Source organism: Homo sapiens, chromosome 15 (genome assembly GCF_000001405.40).
Source record: "Homo sapiens chromosome 15, GRCh38.p14 Primary Assembly".
NCBI classification, from domain to species: Eukaryota; Metazoa; Chordata; class Mammalia; order Primates; family Hominidae; genus Homo; species Homo sapiens.
This window is the reverse complement of record NC_000015.10, coordinates 47,818,043-47,840,074: the sequence shown is the minus strand read 5'-3', so window position 1 is coordinate 47,840,074 and position 22,032 is coordinate 47,818,043. Positions and strand designations below refer to the sequence as shown.

General features: G+C 41.0%; 1 long non-coding RNA gene across 1 annotated transcript in view; it reads left to right on the top strand.

The window, feature by feature from the left end:
* Positions 1 to 22,032, top strand: part of LINC01491 (long intergenic non-protein coding RNA 1491) — a 42,853-nt gene that overhangs the window by 6,162 nt on the left and 14,659 nt on the right. The window contains exon 3 of the long non-coding RNA NR_120336.1: positions 12,459 to 12,504. This is a non-coding gene — a long non-coding RNA (long intergenic non-protein coding RNA 1491). The remainder of the gene's footprint in view (positions 1 to 12,458; positions 12,505 to 22,032) is intronic.

Below are 22,032 nucleotides of genomic sequence, written 5' to 3'. Positions count from 1 at the left end.
AAGTTGCTTAATGCAGTAAAACAGGCATATGTCAGATTAGAAACATTCTAAAAATAAGGCAAAATAGAAAACATAAGCACATAGAATTTTAAATCTGGAGTAACTTCAAAAGTTTATGTAGCGCATTACCCTGTGTTGCAGTAAGTAAGCCACCCAAAATGAAAGGCCAACAAAAAAAAATTACCTCAAAATGCAAAGAAGGTCCTTCTCTAATCAATGCTGATTGCAAAGCAAACACTATTCATGCACCCTAACACTCGAACTTTAATTTTTAAATTTCTTAGCAGACAGAGAAAAGCCAGTTTCCTCCCTTCATCTTAGCCTTCACTGTCTGCCTTCCTCTTCTCACTGTGATTCAGCTACACATTTCTTCGGTGACAATGACATCTGCTCAGCGTTCAAAGATTGGAACAGTGCCTGAGCACCAAGAATAGTGCTTTGCTCAGTAACTGCTTGTTGAGAACAGAGATACAGGAGGGAATTCCTTCTACCTTAGTGTCTCGTGATCCTGTCTAATAAAGGATTTTCCTGGAGGGCCACCATGGGATCCTGCAGAGGATTTTGGCTTCTCTGACATCTTTTCTCATCTCCTTTCCATCCATGGCTCCCCAAGGAGTCAGTCCACCTCAGAACTTCAGAACAGGCTGAGGCCCCATCTGCTCAGCAGCTTCCATCCAGCCTTTTGGCCGGAGCTATATTTTAGGACAACAAAGCCAGTCCAGTCTAAGGAGCGAATTCTGCTCTGAAAGAGGAAGGGAAGATTGGGTTTTGTATTGATTCATTCATGTTGAGGGCTCTCCACTTTACTGAATGAAATTCAATTAATATTTTTGGTTTTTAAATGAAACTTGTTCTCACAGTGGTTTTTCTTGTCACCATTTATTTGAGTCCTGTGTTTCTAGGACTTTTGCAATCAGTATATGCCCACATGGTTCTCCAGATTTGGTTTAATTCCCCTGTCAAATCACCGAGAAAGAAGAGGCTGATTTTTTTTTCACTCGGAAAACAGTTTTTAAGGAAAGACATATTTAGCCTATAATCCTGTGCCTTTTATTGTTAGTTATAGTCTAGTATGTTCTTAACCTCAGATTATAATACAACATATCTTTCAGATTCATCCTGATTCATTTTCTTTGAACCATTCGTTTATCATGCTACGACGATGGCTTTGTGACTTTAGGACAATCTGATCTCTAGTTCCTTGTAGTCATTTAACCTCAATTTCCAGTGTTTCCTCATCAACAGAGGTAGTCTAACTGATAGCCCTGCCAGCCTTCTTGCTTCTCAGGATGGTCAACTCTCCTCTATGACTGTCAACATTCTGTCTTTCCTGAATTTGAGCCTTCCTTGAAAGTCTTTTTTATCAGAAGGGCATAGCTTTCTATTTTGCCTTTACAAAAAGGAAAAAAAAATCTTTCTCTACAAAATCATTTATTTTCTTCTCTGTAGTCAGAGTCTATTTGAAAATTCATAAGGTACTCTCTTAAGAGTGGCTAGAAATGGGTATGAGACCTACAGATTTATAGCCTGCTTCAGCCATACAGATTGGGTTTCACATAATCCTTTTGAATAAAAGAGATCAAACCCCAACTCTACTTCAGGCAAAACGGAGAGGGACAGTTGGATGCAGGGACCTGATCATCATCAGGTATCTCCCCCTCCCAGATAAATGTAAATACATAGAATAGGCTGAACTCAGTACAGATGAAGCAGGAAGAAGCTTTATTCTTCTTCATCACTCTCTTGCAAACCCACTCTGTTGACAGTTATCCCCTCTGGTCAAATCTTCTGCAGGATCCAGAGCTTTTGCAATTCCTTTCAGGTAATAAAATGTCCAGCTCAGCCTAATAATAAAACTCTAAACTTTCATCCAAATTAAAATGTTTCCCCATCTCCAGCTGAAATGTGTAGAAGGGCAGGGAGAGCATGCAGTTCTTTTTGTCTTCCTCTTCCCCCTCCTCCCCCTTGATAGGACTGAGCCCAAGGAGTAAAGAGTGTAACAGGGAAAAGTGCACCATGCCCTTGGTACCTGGGGTTTGTATTTTCTGAGTGTGGTCAATGCGAATGTACTGGTTCTTTGCTTGTAGGACATGTCTGTGGTTTCCTCAGGTACTTTGCCCATCAGGCCTCTGACTGCAACTCCCTGAAGTGCTGTCTCCCACTGGACATTGACAGCACCCCATTAACACAAGGCTTTCAGGAGTCCAGGCCGCACAGTCCACTCCTGAGCAGAGACAGGAAGTGGGGCAAGGAGTTGGTGGAGCCAGGGGCACATGGCACGTGGTCTAACCCTTTCCTCACTTTCAGACCATGCTCCTGGAACACAACCTCCTGCCCAGTGTCCCTGAACCTGCTTCTAAGGCTTGAGCAAGCCTCTCCCTGTGTCCCTCCTCCCGAAGGCAGATTGCTTCTGGTGTCCATTCTCCTGATCCAGCCGGTGGCTGTTTGTGGGCGTGGAATGGAGCTTGGACATGCGGTGGGGGTAGCTACAAGTGTGCCTACAAGGCTGTCATAATGAGGGAGGGAATCGGGTCGGGGAGGAGAGGAGAAGAACTACATGATCCTTCATCATGGCCAAGAGACCAAAAATGAAGAGCTTGGGCTCTCTGCACATCCCTTTCTAGTATAGGATTCAGTGATGACTGAAGATTCTAAATGCAAACCTAGACTTCAAGATACGGATGAAGGCATGTTTGCCAAGATAAGGGGATGGAACCCATTTTACTTGTGTTCATTAGCTTGATGTATAAATGTTATTTTTTTATTTTTTATTTTTATAGAGATGAGATCTCACCATATTGCCCAGGCTGGTCTTGAACTCCTAGGCTCAGGCAATCTTCCTGCCTTGGCCTCCCAAAGTGCTGGGATTACAGGCATGAGCCACTGTGTCAGGCCCAATTTTTAATGTTTAGAGTTATATACTGTGGGCCTCACAGCCTCAAAATTGTTAGGGGCAGGTAGCATACAGAGCCTGTCTGTTGGGTTATGTCGCCCTACAGTATTTATCTGTATAGTTCCTGCAAGATGACCTAGTCTGGCTCCTTTCTCTAGAGGACCTTATCTGGCCCACAAGAAACACTCATTTGCCCACCTTTGGTGGAGACACATCCATCTCCTATGCAGGCCTCTTCTCTCTTTCTTCTGCCCCCTTAGGCTGATGGAGCCACAGTTTCTTGCATTCAGATTTTTTTAGGTGTAGATTAGGTGCCATCCTCTTCATCTCTCAAATTCCAGAGGACATATATCAAACTTTCTGAGTGGGTCCTTTCAAGTCCTTCTCACTTCGCTGAAAAAGAGGGGGATGCACCTCTGTCCTCAGAGGGGAGGTTATGAGGGAATATATGGCACATAAACTGTCTCTCAAAATATATGCACCAGCACTTTTATAGCTTCATTGAAGCATAATTGATGTATGAAACAACTGCACATACTTAAGATGTATAATTTGATGGATTTATCATACACAAACACGCATGACTAAAACTACAATCATGATAATGACATATCCATTACCCCAAAGGTCTTCTCATGCCACTCTGTGCTCCATGCCTCCCTGACCCCTGTCCTCAGGCAACCACTGATCTGCTTCCTCACTTTATGTTTCCTAGATTTTTGTGTAAATGGAATCAGTCTGGTTTGGTTTTCTGTTTTGAGGGGGTGGGAGGGTTGGCTTCTCTTCTTTCATTTAGAATAATTATTTTGAGATTCATCCAGGTTATTGTGTGTTTGAAAAGTTTGTCCCTTTCTACTGCTGAGTAGTATTCCATTGTATGGGTGTACCATACTTACATTTAGGTTGCTTCCAGGTTGGGGTTATTACATAAAAAGCTGCTATCAGAATTCACATACAAGTCTTTGTGTGAACATATGCTTTCATTTCTTCTGGATCAATACCTAGAGATGGAATGGTTGGGTTGTATGATGCCTATATAGTTAACATCTTAAGAAATTGCTGAACTGTTTTCCAAAGTGGTCGTGCTGTTTCACATCCCTTCCAGCAGTGTTTAGGAGTCCGAGATGCTGCACATCCTCACCAGCACTTTAACTTGAGTTGCTCTAATGAGTGTGTAGTGGTGGCACATTGAGGCACTACAACTTTTGGAACCCTCAATGCATTATTTGCCTTCTTCCCTATACAACTTATATTTGGCAAAGCGTTTTTTAAATCTCCTGAGCTGAGGAGCTCAATAAAATGGGGTTGGAGGAGGGTCTCTGACATCTGTTTTATTAAAATTGAGCCTTGGGGTCTCTAGTGAAACTTAGAGAAATAGGGGAAGTAACCCCTCACATCCTACTGACCTTGCTGAGAATGTACAATGTAATACACCTGCATGGGCATATGGATTCATTCACCCATACCAGCTGATAAGGTTTGGATCTGTGTCCCCACCCAAACCTCATCTCGAATTGTAATCCCCATAATTCCCATGTGTCGAGGGAGGGACCTGATGGGAGGTAATTGGATTATGGGGGTGGTTTCCCTCATGCTGTTCTTGTGATAGTGAGTTCTCACGAGATCTGATGGTTTTATGTGTTTGACAGTTCCTCCTTTACATGTTCTCTTTCTCTTGCTTGCTGCCATGTAAGACATGCCTGCTTCCCCTTCTGCCATGATTGTAAGCTTCCTGGGGCCTCCCTAGCCATATGGAACTCTGAGTCAATTAAACCTCTTTCCTTTGTAAATTACCCAGTCTCAGGTAGTTCCTTATAGCAGTGTGAAAATGAACTAATACACCAGCTTTCTCTGCCAAACCGGAACCCTGATTATCACCAGCAACTATTCTCATTTTCCCAGATTCTCCAACAAGAAGAGGCTTTATTCCCTTAGCTCTAATCTGAAAACATTCAAGGCAGGACTGTGATTGCCCTTGTTTAGGTCACATTCCCATCCTTGATGTCTTAGTTTGGTTCTCCCCCAAAGCAGATTATGATATAAGGGTTTGAATGCAGGTCGTTAATTTGGGAGCCTGGTCCCAGGGAGCACTGTGAAGCAGTGGAGCAGTGAGGCAGGAAGAAGATCAGTACAGAATTTGGTAACGACAGTGGCATCCACAGCTCAACCATGCTCAGGACCCTCTGAGTTTGTGAGAAGTACATCTCAGAATTGCCCCCAGCGGAGGGTGTGGACACTAGGCTATTAAGCCATCATCTTCGGTTCTTGCTGGTTGGAAGTTCCTTCCAGGGACACTACCTCTCAAGCATTCTGCTGCCTGAGCACTCTGGCTGGACTTGTTCTCCAGCCAGACTCTTGCTTAGGCAGGGGCTACAGTGGGCAGTCAGCGTGAAGGACAACTGTCTGCAGGAGTCTTTGGGGGTAGACTGAGCAGTTGCGGGTGGGCGACCACTAGTGCTGCTACATCTGGATATCCTGGTAATATGACTTCCAACCTAAGCTAGGACCGGGAGGGGGAAAGAGACCAGGGAAATGAATTTCACAGAAGAATGTGTAGGAGTTGTTCTAGGTACATTCATTGGCATCTGCTAGGAGTTTTACAGAAACAATTTATGGTGGTAAATTGCTGACTAAAATCTTTGCAAGTTTGTTTCAAAATGTTTTAAAATGAAATCCTAAAAGGTAGCCTTAATGTAACTTTTTACTCCATAATTATTTATTCCTGGTACTCTCCCAGAGATCTCACCTAATAATAGAGACTCTTCCCTTTTTTCATTGTTTGCCTTTATCCTTTGGGGAAAACTTTCACCCTTCAGATAGTGAAAAAACTTATTGAGCAACTGCTGTGTGACTGGCTCTTGTATCAGGTACTAAGGATGCTAAGATGAATGCCCTCAGGCTGTGGAGGTAAATTCTGTGTGTCTTCCCACCAGCTGGATCAGAAGACCGAGGTTCCTGACTAAGAATGTCACATGAGGCTTTCCCTCTTTCTTCTTACTTCCTCTGATTCCAGAATGATGTTTTGAGCACAGCATGTTCACCTCTTTACAGAGTAAGAACAGCTTCTTGTCTTTAGGGTGCAATTTTAAAGAGAAATGTCGCTACTTTTTCCCTGCCAATTTTGAACACTAGACTATGGTTTCTCCAAATTTGATGCTTTATCACATTCCAGGTAGTATAATCTTTATATTATCAACGTGTACACTCCCTTGCTTTTCCTAGCTGTGCCTTTTTTTCCTTCCTGGAATTTATATTTCTGTCTCCCATCTGCCAGCCTTTCCCATAAACTCTCAGGCACAGAATTTATTTCAATTTTCTGTAATCTCACTTTCTAACACCAATAAATAATCCACCTATCTCTGTGAGGCCCTGCTGACCTTTTGCTTCTCATCAACTTGATATATTTTTACTTTCTGTCTTTCGTTTTTACATATTTTCACTTTGGTTCTCTGATCTGGCCTCCTTTCCCCCAGTTTTGCACCCTGGCTATCTGGTGGTGGCTTCTCAGCCCCTACCTTGTACTTCTTTTCCTTTGCAGGGATCCCCAGCTGCAAGCTCTTTCACTACCATCTGACGTGTCCTCTGTGCTCCTGCTTTTCTCATCAGGGCTGCTGTCTGCTTAGCGGCTTGGGTTGAAGCTTCTCTTGGACCCTGGTTCGTTCGCCTGCTGTGCCCTTCTCCTCTTGCTTCCCTGGCCTGTACTCACTGAATTCTCTTCTTTTATCTGACTCTTCCAAATGGGGAATTTGCAGAAATTGGAAAGCATCTTTACCCAGCCAGCACCACCATTAGTGCCCATCACCCACTTATTGCAATGGAACACTGGAAGTTCACAAGAGGGTTGATTTTGTTGGGTGACACTGTGAGAAATGCTGATGATGCCTTAAGGTCTCTCTTCTGGCACAGGGTCCTCCTCAGCTCCACTGGACCCTCCCTCCTCTAGTGCCTGCTGTGAACCTATTGTTCTGTGCTAATAGATTTGTTTAATATTTTATTTTGACAGTTCCAAATTACAGAGAAGTTGCAAGAAGAGTACAAAAACCTCCCATATGCTCTTCCTCCTTAGTCTTCCCTGACCTCCATGACCCTGATATTTTTGAAGATTGTAGACTAGTCATTTTTTGAATGTTCTTCAATTTAAGTTTTCCAAAGTTTCCTCATGATTAGACATCAATGATATATTTTATGGAGGGAATACCACGAATGCTGTGTTCTTTGCAATGCATTCTCTCAAGTGGCACACAATGTCTGTCATGTTACTGACGGTGTTAACATTGATCACTTGGTTGAAATGGTGCCTGCCAGATTTCTTCACTGTAAAATTATTCTTTCTTTGTTATTAATAAATATAATATGGGTTGTACTTTGACACAATGTAAAATCCCATTCCTCATTTAGCTTTTACCCACGATTCTTTGTTTTTTTTTTTTTTTCTATTTCCCAGCCAAGGTTTTTTATTTTTTTTTAAGTTCTGGGGTATGTGTGCAGGATGTGCAGGTTTGTTACATGGGTAAACATTTGCCATGGTGGTTTCTTGCACCTGTCAAACCATCAGCTAAGTATTAAGCCCAGCATGCATTAGCTATTTTTCCTGATGTTCTCCCTTTCCCCGCCCCTTCCCAACAGGCCCCAGTATGTGTTGTTCCTCTCCTTATGTCCATGTGTTCTCATTGTTCAGGCCCCACTTATGAGTGAGAACATGAAGTATTTGGTTTCCTTTCCTGTATTAGTTTCCTGAGGATAATAGCTTCCAGCTCCATCCATGTCCCTGAAAAGGACATGATAATTGTTTCTTTTTATGGCTGCATAATATCCCATGGTGTGTATGCACCACATTTTCTTTATCCAGTCTACCATTAATGGGCATTTGGGTGGATTCCATGTCTTTGCTATTGTGAAGAGTGCTGCAATGAACATACATGCTCATGAATCTTTATAATAGAATGATTTATATTCCTTTGGGCATATGCCTAGTAATGTGATTGCTGGGTCAAATGGTATTTCTGCTCCTAGGTCTTTGAGGAATCACCAGACTGTCTTCCACAATGGTTGAACAAATTTACATTCCCACCAATAGTGTAAAGGCATTTCTATCTCTCCACAGCCTCGCCAGCATTTGTGATTTCTTGACTTTTTAATAATCACCATTCTGACTGGTGTGACATGGTATCTCACTGTGGTTTCGATTTGTGTTTCTCTAATGATCAGTGATGTTGAGCTTCTTTCACATGTTTGTTGGCTGTACAAGTGTCTTCCTTGGAGAAGTGTCTGCTGATGTCCTTTGACCCTTTTTAATGGGGTTGTTTTTTTTCTTGTAAATTTGTTTAAGTTCTTTGTAAACTCTAAATATTAGACCTTTGTCAGATGGATAAGTTGCAAAAATTTTCTCCCATTCTGTAGGTTGTCTGTTTGTTCTGATAATAGTTTCTTTTGCTCTGCAGAAGCTGTTTAGTTTAATTAGACCCCATTTGTCAATTTTTGCTTTTGTTGCCATTGTTTTTGATGTTGTTTTCATGGAATCTTTGCCTGTGCCTATGTCCTGAATGGTACTGCCTAGATTTTCTTCTAAGGTTTTTATAGTTCTGAGTTTTACATTTAAGTCTTTAATCCATCTTGAGTTAATGTTTGTATAAGGTATAAGGAATCGGTCCAGTTTCAATTTTCTGCACATTGTTAGACAGTTCTCTCAGCACCATTTACTAAATAGGGAATGTTTTCCCCATTGCTTGTTTTTGTCAGGTTTGTCAAAGATCAGATGGTTATAGATGTGAGGGCTTATTTCTGAGTTGTCTGTTCTGTTCCATTTGTCTGTTTCTGTACCAATACCATGCTGTTTTGGTGACTGTAGCCTTGTAGTGTAGTTTGAAGTCATTAACCACATGTTTTTGCACCCATCAATATGTTTCTTGTCCAAATCAATGATTATTGTGATGGTTGCTAAATGGTTGTTTTCCAATACTGTCATTCCTTCTACATTTATTAGTTGGCTTCCCATCATAAGGAAGAATTTTCCCTTTTCACTGAAGAATTTATTCTTTCCTTTATTTATATCAGTCTAGACTCTTGGCTTTCTAGTTAATTCAATGGGTTATAAACAATTCTTATTATTTATTTTGATGCTCAAGTTGCCCAAGTTTGGCCAATAAAAGACCCTATGTATGTGAACTCTGGGCATTTCCTCATCATTCTTTGACCATTTCCTTACTTTCTGTCCCAAAAAGGTGTTCCAGACTCACTTTCAGACACATCCTGTTCTTCCCCTGACACCGGAGGATCAATCATATGTGTGTGTGTGTGTGTGTGTGTGTGTCTATGTAGATAATATTCATTCTATATTTTTCAACTACATTGAAAATCATGAATTCTCACTGCTACTTCCAATTCCAATCCAATACCACAGGGTCTATTTTAGCTTTTCTCCTTTTCATATTTGTGCTTCTCTTCCTTGACAGCGAGAAAGCTGTAACCCAGTGCTCCCAATACCTCAGTCTCCTGGTATGTAATCAATCTCTTGACCCCACCCGGCTGCCCCCCTCCTTGCTTGCAAGCTCAACCCCTACTTGAGCCTGCTTACTTCAGATCACCTACATATTTGGGTCTGCCTTAATGGCTTTTTGGTACAGGAAGGAAGGAAACCAATTTACATTTTTTAAAGAAGAGAAGAGGAAGAGAAAGCAAAAATGTAGTGCTTAGGAGATTTTTTCCAAACCACATTTGCTATTTCCATCTCTTTTTGAGTTTACACAATTACTTCTGTATCACTTATAAAGTTATTCTAGACAATTAAAACATATATCTTTGACTATTCTGCTCTGATATTTTTATTTTTTGTACAGTATATGGACTGTTTATACAAGTAGTCACTACTCAATTATCTTTGGATGTGAATAGATATATCAGATACACATTTTAGTGCTTTGAAGAAAATAAATTCTGTTTTGATCAAAATGGGTTAGGTTAGACTTTACAAACATCCCTGAAATCTCAGTGTCTTAACCCAATGGAGCTTATTTTTTGTTCATGCTATATTATTGCCCAAAGCAGGTGAATAGATGGGGTTCTCAGAGGCCTGGGCTTATGGAGGCTTCATTCTAGATGTGCTCCCATGATGACCATAGTTGTAGAAAGAGACTGTCACTAATTGTATGCCAGCTTTTAAAGTTTCTACTGGGAAGTAAAAGACATTATTTGTGCTGATATTTCATTGGCCAAGGCAAGTCACATGACCACACTTCCCAGGAAGTGGAAAAGCGTATTCCTACCATGTGTCTTGAAGAGGAAGCTCTGAAGCAGTTGGAGAAGAGTACTGACTCCCAGAGTGCTTTGGCAAGGGACACCAAGGCTCTGAATTTGGCTCTCACTTACAGTACTAGTCTTATCTTGTAACATTTCTATTTCTTTCTCTGCAAGACAGGAAAAGCTAGCTCATGAGATTATAAAGAAAAAACAGTACAAGTGTTTCATAAAATGCAAAATACTATAGGAAGATGAGAGCATCATGACTATCATTTCTAATAGTCATGTCACCAAATGGCAGATAAACTTCCTGGGAGCTGTGTTCATTTCCCCAGTGGATTCCATATTCCAAGTGGTGATAAAGATAATTTTTTCCAGTTATAATAGTAATGGATGCTCAATGTTGATAATTTTCCCAATACAAAAAATATATATATAAATAAGAAAATACAAAGATCCATTATCCTAAAATAGAACAATATTTACCTTTTGATATACATACTTGGCAGTTGTTTTCTATGTATAATTTAAGTAGCTGAAATTATATGTAATATTTTTCTAAATTTTTACTTAACCTTCAACTTTTAATGTTTTCTCATATAATTGCAAATTCTTTTTAATATTATTTTTAAAGGCCACATAATATTTTATAACCAATTAACCATTTACCTATCATTGGCCACTTATGTTGTTTCCATATACGTGATATTCATGATTGTTTTACTCTGCTTACAAAGAGAGAAGAATGCCTTGCGTCTACACTGTACCAGTCCTGGACCTCAGATTCATTTCTTTCCTTCCTCTGCTCTTCTCCACATTATAGTAATCAGCGTCAGTTGGCTTCTGGCTGAATTCACCTAGTGGAAGACACTAACAGGAAAATTGCAGAATGGGGAAAGGAGGAAGTCCAGAAGTCCATTTCTCCCCTCCCACTCTGCCGTGGATGGTTTCTTTGGCAGTAGCTATGCCTCCCTCTTGGTTACATCCCTCACCAGACAGGCCCTTCATGGTTCCAGAACCCCACCTCCCAGTAAAACCCAAACCTTTGGTTCCAGTAACACCCCCTGCTCTTTTTGTCCCTCTAGCTTAGGCATGATAGTGGCTTCCTGCTGTTGCTAATCTCTGGGTTTCTCATCATCTTCTGATTGGTGCTCAGCTCCTTTATCACTTGGGTTACCACCTCCCTGCATTAAATTCTGTCTGTTGGAAATGCTTGAAGAAGTTGATGTTTTCCTGGCTAGACTTTCATTTATTCTCACATTGGGCCACTGCAGCTTCTATCAGCATTTTCTTTCTCCTCAAGTCAACATGAGCTTGCATTTATCAGAGAAACTTAGTTCATGAAACAGAACCCCATTAAAACTTTTGAAACAAAAATGTAAAAAAGATACAGTCATTAAAAAGATAAAAGAGCAGCATGTATTACCAATAGGCAAGAAGTACGACTAGGAATCATGAGAGAGTTAGACTAGAAAGTTCCTCCCCTTCATCTTTTCTTTCTGCAGAAGAGAGTAAATACGACAGAAAGCAGTACCCTCAGCCCCAGTCCTACATAACTTCCCAAACCCAGTGGCCAAGATGAGCTACCTAGATCTCCATTTTCCTGTTATCAAGCTCTGCTTGTTTCAGGTGTCTAAGCTTCATGTAATCAGCTGTAAACAGGAGTGGGGTGTGGATGAGGTCCAGACTCTGCAGCTGGCTGAGCTGGAGAGGGTGGGACAGCTTCTCTGAGAAAGAGCACATGGGTGAGGGCACCTTGATGAGCAGGTCCCCTACAAGCCTATTATTTAGGGATCCTAAAAATATATGGACTCCCTGTTTCTAAAAATTTGACACACTAGTGTGAAAGAAATGTCTTAATATAGGACACATAAAACTGTGGGATAAATTATAAAACAACAACAACATCCTTTTAGTTCATGGCTGAGCAGATAGCAGAGTTAGGAAAACCACTGGGGCCTGAAATGAAGAAAAGTTTCCTCTATGAACGGAGGGAAGTGGGGAAACGGGATCAAGGAATGAATATCAAGTATTGGCACTGGGGAAGTTTTATTATACAGTTGTTCCTTGGTATTCCATGAAGGATTCATTCCTTGTGGATACCAAAATGCCCCATACTCAAGTCTCTTATATAAAATGGCACAGTATTTGCATAACCTATGCACATCCTCCCATATACTTTAAATCATCTCTAGATTACCTATAATACCTAAAACAATGTAAATGCTATGAAAATAGTTCTTGTACTATTTTTAAGTTTGCATTATTTTAAATTTTGTATCGTTATTTTTAATTGTTTTTTAAAATATTTGTAATCTGTGGATTGCAGAATCTGCAGGCAGATGCTGAAACCATGAATACAGAGGGACAACTATGTAAGCTCGTTAGTGAGTATAAGTGGATTCATTTTATTATGATGATTTAAACTAAGTTAAATATAAATATATGTATATATACGCACATATAGTATATTTCATGAAATAACTTTAATATATTTAAACTGGAAATGCTTCTAAATCTGTCTATAATTGGTCAAAGCTTAGTTTTGAAAGAATACACGTTTTTCAAAATGTGTTCCCTGCTCCCTATTTCTGTTATTGCTGCTACAGAGAACCATATGCAGCTGTAAATCTCCAGGCTTTCCCCACTCTAACATGAAAATTTGTTGCAGAATGATTGCTATGAAATGCCTCTTTTTCTTTACTACCATGGTAGAAGATTCCTATAAATTTTCTTATCTTTTTGATGAAAAGAAAGTAATGTATGAGACTCTTCCTTATTACTCAAAGGTGTTTTGAGCCCATGGTCCTTTCTTGTGGCTTAACATCAGCATGTACCTTGCCACAGCAGGGGTGGATGATACATATCCACTTACCTTCTCACTGGCGTTTCTGGTTTAATGTTGAATTCCTACTCCAGGGGAACTTACTAGTAGAAGATACATCCATGGGTTCCAAGGCTTCCCGTGTCGTTCTCTTTTGGTCCCTACTCCGCTCTCTTTGTCTATAGTGTCAGTGTCTATCCTCTTGTCCCAGCCTATGAGGTCCTCCAGTTTCCCATACAGTTTCCTTTTAGCATTTTCAGGTGATAGTTGCCTCTTCATCTTATCAATAATTGGAATATCAGCAGACCCTCTACTCTTAAACTAATTTACCAGGACAGTGCGTTCATCATTTTCAGCATTGAATTTTTTGGCTTTCACATCACTCTGATCTGCACTTCTGTGTATATGAACCATAGTTGGAAGTCAGATATGGCTCTGAGGTCAGTCATGGTCACTGTTGCTCCAATTTGGGTGGCCAAGTGTCTCTCAAAACATGGCATCTTTCTAGTGTTCCTGGGAACAACCTTTCCCTAAGGGTTTATCTTTGGCCACATGTGTTCATGTAGCATTTGCAGTGGTGTTCTGGAAGGGCTCATAATAGCTAATGAGAGCCCATTGTCAAATATTCAGGAATTTTGTGACCCAGTTTTTAAATCACAGTTTAAAATCAGTCATGGTGGGAGTATGCACACCATGGAAATTGACAAATACTATAAATCAGGGCTTCCCCTGCCCAATCTGAAATCAGTTTACCAGCACACCACTGCATTCGGGTAACTAAAATAAAAATAATACAAATAAAGGGATATTTTTAAAAACATAGGTAATCTGGCAATGTTTATTATTGAGAACACTTTAAATTTTTTTTTTTTTTAAGATTCAGCCGAAAAACCACTCAAACAGGTAAGTGAAGATTGCCTAGAGGAAATGAAAAAATGCTACATATAAAATAAAAAGGTTGATAAAATAGCCTTTGTCAAAACTAAAAACTTCTCATTAAAAAGTACTGTTAAGAAAATAAATAGGTAAGCTACAGACTGGAGAACATAGTAGTACTTTATCTAGAATGTGTAAAAATATCTATAAATAACCAAAGCATAAAAAGATAACAGCTCAATAATGAAATGGAAAAAATATTTGCATAGAGAGTTCTCGAAACAAAATATGCAAATGGCCAATAATCACATGGAAATAGGATCAACATCATCATAAGGGAAATAAAATTAAGCCTGTAATTGTGTTAGTCCATTTTGTGTTGCTGTAAAAGAATATCTGAGGCTAGCCAGGTAATTTATAAAGAAAAGGGGTTTATTTTGGCTCACAGTTCTGCAGACTGTACAAGAAGCATGGTGCCGACCTCTGCTTCTAGTGAGGTCTCAGGAAGCTTACAATCATAGTGGTTGGTGAAGGTGGGGCAGGCGTGTCACATGGTGAGAGAGAGAGCAAGAGATAGAGGGAGGAGGAGATGCCAAACTCTTTTAACCAGCCAGCTCTCATGTTAGCTAATAGAGTTAGAACTCATTCTTTACTGCAAGTAGGGCACCAAGCCATTCATGAGGGATCTGCCCCTGTGACCAAGACACCTCCACTAAGCCTCACTCGCAACACCAGGGATCATATTTCAACATGAAATTTGGAGGGGACAAACATACAAACTACATCAACAACAAAATGTCACTTCACATCTGTTAGAATGGCTAACAAAGAGGGCATCAAGGATGTGGAACAACCAGAGCTCTCATATTGTGCTGGTAGAAATGAAAAACGTTGTGAGTACTTTGGAAAACTGTTTGGCAGTTCCTTTTAACGTTAAACATACGTCTACTCTTTGATCTTGCAATTCTACTCCTACCCAAGGCAAATGAAAACATACCTACAAAAAGACTTGCATAAGAACCTTTATAGCAGCTTTTAATCACAATAGTTCCAAACTGGAGACTCCCCAAATGTCCATCAACAGTAGGATGAATATACACATTGTGTTACATGTATATAATGGAATAGGACTCAGCAATAAAAATGAATAAATCATTGAGGCATACACCAACATGAATGAATATTAAAAACCTGTTAGGCAAAGGAATCAGACACCAAAGACCACATACAGCCTGCTCCTGTTTATATGAAGTTCAGCAACAGACAGAACTAATTTTTGAAATGAGAACAGAGTTGACCTTGCAGGGGATGGATTTGGTTAGGAGTAACTGGAAAGGAACATAAGGCCACTTTCTGGGATGATGGAGATATTCTGTGTCTTGATTACGGTAGTGGTTTCACGGGTGAATATATTTTTCTAAGCTCATTATCTATATGTAAATTTAATTCAGTAATAATAAATTTTAAAAATAGAAATAAGCGCCGCCCCCCACCCCCCACAAAAAAATAGCAACTTAAAGAACCAAAATGAAGTATTTAATCAAGTCTCAGGACAATGAGGAAGTAACATCTTATGTGGTTTAATGATAATATCATACAGAGTGTTAGACTGTAAGACAAAAAGAACAGATAGCAGAAAGCAATTTAACCTTCTACTATTATACATTTAGCATGATATTATGTTCAAGCTCTCCACCAATCATTTTGTTTTATATTAATGATTCCCCAGGAGAAGTAGTTTCACTTCTGGCTTTTTAAAAGTAGTTTGGCCTGTTTACTCATATTAGTAGAAACAATACATTCAATAAATCATCACAGCCTCCCACGTTCCTTGGCTGGCATAAAGCTGCTGACTGACGGTGTAGCCGCCAGGCTCTGTAGGACCTGCACCACCAGGCTTGCTAATTGCTACACAGCCAGGCAGATTTGAAGAGAAGATTATAGGAGAGGAGGCAGGGAGATGAGGAAGTGTGCCAGGAATTATGGAAGATGGTAAGGGCAGCCGAATCAGCATTTCTGAAACTAGGTGTGGTTTGTCTACCTTGATGTGCACATGGGCACCACTGTACTCACAGAACAACATGGTTTCTGTGTTTTTCATCAATATGAGCAGTGTCCGTGGCCATTTGACACAGTTTTCCCAAGTCCCAGACTTCTGGGATAGCTTTGGCTTAACTATTAAGATAGCTTCAGCTCATTCCTCATTTTGATGACCACACTTTAACTGTTTTTGGGGACATTTCTGAGAATTCCTAGATGGTCCCCATGTGTCCTGGTGTCAACTGACAGCATTCTCCCAGCCTGGCTCACTTTCCCAGTCCTCTCTGGCCTCTGGGTCCCTGTGACCTGCAGTGTGAGCACAGTGTACCCAAAGCAGCCTTGTCACCAGGTGGATCCTAAACTTAATGGCTCTTCAAGCTCTTTTAAAGGCATGAGGAAACCTGGAGAGTGATTGTAGCATTTGTTGTCTTAGTCTGTTCTGGCTGCTGTAACAAAAATACCATAAACTGAGGGGCTTATAAGCAACAGATGTTTACCTTTCACAATCCTGGAGGCTGGAACATTCAAGATCAAGACAGGTTTGGTGTCTGGGGAAGACCCACTTCCTAGTTCATAGAGGGCCATCTTTTTGCTGAGACCTCACATGGTGGAAGGGGTAAGGGAGCTTTCTGGGGTCTGTTTTATAAGGGCACTAACTCTATTCATCAGGGCTCTGCCCCATGATTTAATCACCTCGCCAAAGGTACCACCTCCCAATACCATCCCAGCAGGGTTGGGATGTCAACACATGAGTTTGGGGGAACACACATTGAAACCACAGCAGCTGTGCAACGTCACAGTTGCTGAGCTCTCAGTATTGGCAGATCCCCATCATCCTGTCCTGAGAGCTCCTTCCTTGGGCCCTGGCTTCCTCATCTTATTGCTGGCACCTGTGCTTTCCTTATTGAATCTCCTTTCCACTCTTCTCTTCCCCACCCTGTTACTGAGACCGGAACAGAGGAAAGGAAAAACTCATTTCACATGACAGCAAGCTCTTGTCATTATTATTGCCTTACCGTGCACAGTAATTTAGGTTCTCTTGTCTTAAGAACCCCATTCCTGGCCATGCCCTTGCCTCTCTAACCAGGAATCCTTTAAATAAAAGTGTCCTGCCCTCTCTCTTAATCTTTGCACACCTAGACACCCTACTCACTATACTCAAAAAGCTGCCTTCAGTTTCATAAAATAGTATTTTTGGCTTCCTTTTAATTCATTTTTTATGAACTTTGACTTTGTTTTCCTGATACAGGGGATAGTTAGGTTAGATGTTTGTGGAAGTTCAGCATTCTATAGAACATAGTTTAACTTACAATAAGAGAAAAAGGAGAGCACACAGCTCAGAGCCATCCTGTCTTCATTTCCTTCTTGCCTGGCTGTGTAGCCACTTTTATTTTTATTTTTTTATTTTTCAGGTGTTACTTTAATTTTTCTCTATTATGGGCACTGAGGTTGGATAAGCATGGGTCTGCCTCTGTCACTGCTTCCTCCAGGCCAGCAAGGCCCATGCAATGGAACTGAGCTAACAGACAGCAGTTCTGGCCACAAAGATGACCCCACTCAGCAGCCAGCCCGTGATGAGCCTGCACATTCATGTTCAACACTTTACCGCTGGCTGCTTGCTTTTACACCAGCTCTCCTATCTGATCCCACATGAGAAGGCTGCTGGAGGAATCAAAGTTCTCTGTACCACTAAGTTTAGCCTTATCCAGTGTTTTCTGACCACTGTTTTTTGAACCCTGATCTCCCCCAAAAATAGGCTTTGCCAATTTTTTCATATCAAATAAGAAAACTCCAAGGCCACTTGCTCTTCGCTCTGGCCTCCACTGCCTTGGTTTTATAATGTAGCAAACCCTTCTTCCACAAGACGCCTGAGCCCTGGGTGAAGCTGTTTTCAAGGAACAGGGTCACACATGGCTGCCCGGCCTGGCAGGCCTGCAGGCTTGCTGGCTAAGGCCAACTATAAACAAACCTGGATTAGCATTTTAAAACAGGTTTCACCAAAAGGATAACTATTTGTCATAGAAGAAAATACTACTGATTGGAGCACACTCAGACTGCCTTTAGACATTCTCCCATGCCTGTGTCCTACTTTCCTGGGGCAGTATTACAATATTTACCATAAAGCTGAGCATGAGCGTGGGGTCTGTGAAGTTCTGAGTTTACTGGCATACTGTCTTTCTTCCACTGCAAGAGATTAAGAAACTGGAGCTGAAAATGAAAATGTTCACTCACATTTTCTACACCAGCACACCAGAGGAGACAGCAATAGCTTCTTCCTTTTTCTTTTTCTTAAATAAATAGCACAAAGAATTGCAGCCAGCCAGCTCAGCTTGGGCCAACTTTAAAAGCCCACCACCAGATCCCCACCAAGATAAGCAGCCCCCACACGGAGGTGATCCACCATCATCTCTGAGAGATAACTAGGAAAAAAAGGAGAGATGCTTTTACAAAAATATCATGATTTGGCTCCTGGAGAAAAGGAAGGGCAAAATGCAAGTGGTGTTCCTTCTTCTCACCTTGGTGGCTTCCCCAAGTAGAAGAATTAATAGGCTTAGGGCTTATTAAGGTGAAATCAAAAGGAGAGAAAGACAGAGAAACTGTAATAACAATGGTGCTAGAGACTCTGAGGGTTTCCAGCAGGCTCATTTGTTTCAAGGAAGAACATTTAGGGAGAGGTGGATCCCCCTCTGTCTTCATTCAGCTTCAAATGGAAGAAGAAAAGCAGGAAGTATATAGCTAATATAGAAGGTATGATCCAAAATGTTGAAAACAATTCCACCTTTTCTTGCATAAACATTTATTGAATGTGTATTACGTGGCCAGCACTGTGATTGATATGGGTGATATTAATGAGATTCAATCATTGAGCTTATCTTTGTGAAAGAAGCCCTTCCACTTGCTGAACTGCTGAGACAGCCTCTGACGATTCGAATGAATCAGATGCTAGCCACAGTTCAAATGTCCTGTTGTGGACCATTTCTGAGCCTCTGTAATGGAGTTGCGGCAGTGATTTCAGAATCAAGCTAACCTACTCTAATTTTGGAAGCATTTATCTTAGCCTTTCCACCCCCCTCCCCACTTTCTACATCTGAATTGTTTGCACCACACTGATATCACTTATGTGAAATGCTAACCAAATTTCTTTCCCACATTCGACCTCAGTTTCTCCATATGTGTTGTTATAAAATCATCTGGTTCTGAGTCATTCAGTCTCTTGGCAGATGCTCAGTGCACTTGAAGCTAGTACGTGCTTGTTTGAAGTCCTTATGGTTCAGTCCTCCCTGTCTGTCAGTCAAGTGTATCTGCTTAATATCTCTATACGTTATCTCTATAAACACGCCTGTTGAAAAAATAATCTCCTGAAATACCAAGCTGATAGTATCTTTTCCAGCTATTGGGCATTGTTTTCTGTTTAATGAATAAAAAGTTTTCAGAAATGTGCATTTTAATTTACGTCCAGGACAGACTGCTGTCAGAAAGATCTGCTGGAATGCTTTCCTTTGAAAAAGAAGCTGGCAATGTAATACAACAAGCAGCTGTAGGCGGCCACATTATCTGCCTTGTCTTTTTCAAGCCTAGCCATGGGGTGTGTGTGTGTGTGTGTGTGTGTGTGTGTGTGTTTTGGTTGAAAAGTTGGAATGGAAATGAAACGAGGTATTTTTGCAGAAATTAAGCAATTACTATTTGCTGATGTAATGTCAATTCATAAGTGACCTCTGAACAACAACAAAGCACATCACTCGAAAATTTAAAAATAATCACTTCACTGAGCAAGCAGATGTATTTGTTTAGGTGAAGCATCCAAGAGTTACCTGACCCCTCCAGCTCACCCGTACTGCAAAAGATGGGGCCCCGTGTACCCATCAACCCGAAGAAGGACTCTGAAACCTCTATCGCCTACAGCCCGTGGGTTCTGACAGCAAAGTGAATCACTTCTGGGGAAGACAATGACTTGTTTACTTTTCACTGAATTGAAAATTGAAGATATTTCATAATAGGGTCTGGGAAAATTTACCAGATGTTTCATTGCACTATGTTCTCCTGTCAGGTCCACAAGATATAATGCTGAGAAAGGCTAATAAATCAAGGTGGGTATGAAAAGCTTAGGGATAAAATTCATAAAAACTTGAACTGCGGGAGGACACCTTTTCTCTAGCTGCTAAAATATGAAATTTCTTGACTTTTTTGGTGCTTCACAGATAAACTAATATAAACTATAGTTCTCATTTTTACTCATTTCTCCCTGCTTTCCTTCTATTCCTTTCTGCTCCAATTTAGCCAATCTAATGTCTAAATACAGAATAGAAAAATGTGTCTTCTAATTTACTTTAAAATGATGACTGGATGAATACGTAACCACTGCTCTGAATGGAAGACTTCGACTGGAAGACTTTTTCACATGACCCAGGGAAAGGCACAAAGAAACAAAGCTTGTGATGCTCTAAAATAATCAATTCATTTGGCCAACACCATGCACAGAATGGAAAGCTTTTGCCTCATTTTTCTTCCCCCCGCCTTCAGATTTTCAAAGTGTTTTATAAAAGCAAGTGCTAATAAACTGTGGCATTAACTAGAGAACACTGGTGCAGACTTTATTCTGGTCATCTGTTACTTACTTCGGGCCACTGTCTGTGCCATAGGAACTACAATCCCAGTTGTCTTAGTTATCTATTGTTGCATAACAAATCATCCCAAAACAAGAAATACATGTTATCTCACACTAACTTTCTGTGGGTCAGGAATTTGGAAGCAGCATAACTGGGAGGTCTGGCTCAGGATCTCTTGTGAGGCTGCAGTCAGATGCTGACAAGGGCCGCAGCAAATGACGCTTGACTGGGGCTGGAGGATCTGACTCCAAGATGGTGCACTCACATGGCTGTTGGCAGGAGGCCTCAATTCCTTACAGAGTGGATCTGTCCATAGGCTGCCCAAGAGTCCTCATTCCATGGCAGCTGGCTTCTCCCAAAAATGAGTGCTCCAAGTGAGAGAGTGAAAGAGAACTAGCAGGGGAATCCACAATAAGCTTTATTACCTAGTCTTTAAAGTCACACACTGTCATGTCTGCTTTATTCTATTTGTTAGAAACAAGTCATGAAGTCAGCCCACATTCAAGCAGAGGAGAATTAGTCTCCAACTCTTAAAGGGAAGAATATCAAAGAATTTGTGGACATGTCTTAAAATTATTCCACGGGTTGAATAGAATTTTTAATTGGTGCAGTTGACAGTGAGATCTCAATCAATACCATACATTGAAGAAAAAGAAGAAGAAGAAGAAAAGAAAGAAAAATAAAAATAAAAGCACAGCTTTGTTCAGGCCACTCCTTATCTTGCCTCATGAACTTCCATCTCAAGTCCCACCCGCAGACCTTATTTCATTCTGACACTGCTCATGGCTTTCACTAACTTCCCCCTAACTCCAGCTGTTGATCTGTCATTAGTAAATCTCAACAACATTCCAACCTGTTAGAAAAAAAAACAATAAGGCAGAGGCTCAGGTACCCCTAAAGTCTGGAGTCATAAGAAAATTAAAAATCTGTGAGTTCAGAGGACAGGGGTAAAGTGTATATGGAAAGAGGAGGGAAATTCTCCACAGATGGGACTGTTTTATCTGATGCATCCTGGAGTTCTGAGAGGTGTTGCTAAGGCCTCCCAGAGGTTGCTCTTGGCTCCTCCTAATGCCAGGGTAGGCAGCTCAGCTCTCCTATGTGTATCCAGCCTAGTGGATTTCTCTCTGGTCACTCCTCCGCAGCTTCACTGGGCTTCCTGGGCACAATGCTTGCAGCCTCTATTCAGAAGTAATCATGGTACTAAATCACTCTCTGCCCATTATCATCCAGAGCCTGTCCATAGACAGCTTTATCTCCCACCAGGAAGTCTGTTCTGATCAGCCTTTCACCGACTTCCTTTCATGCTTGCAAAGGGCAAGAAAAGTGGCTTCAGGGACTACCAGCTCACAGGGCACAGTCAGTGGTAATGGTCTTATCACTCGGCTACCTTCTCCTCCTTCCCAAAGGGAGCAGCAGTTAGTGTATCTGAGCCAGAGAGTCTGGCTGAACCATCCTATTACTGTTTTGTATAAAGCACTTACAGAATTCCTCGAGGGGAGAGGAGTCTCCAAGGGGAACTTGTCTCATTAAACTGCTGCCTGCTTTCCAAGCAGCCA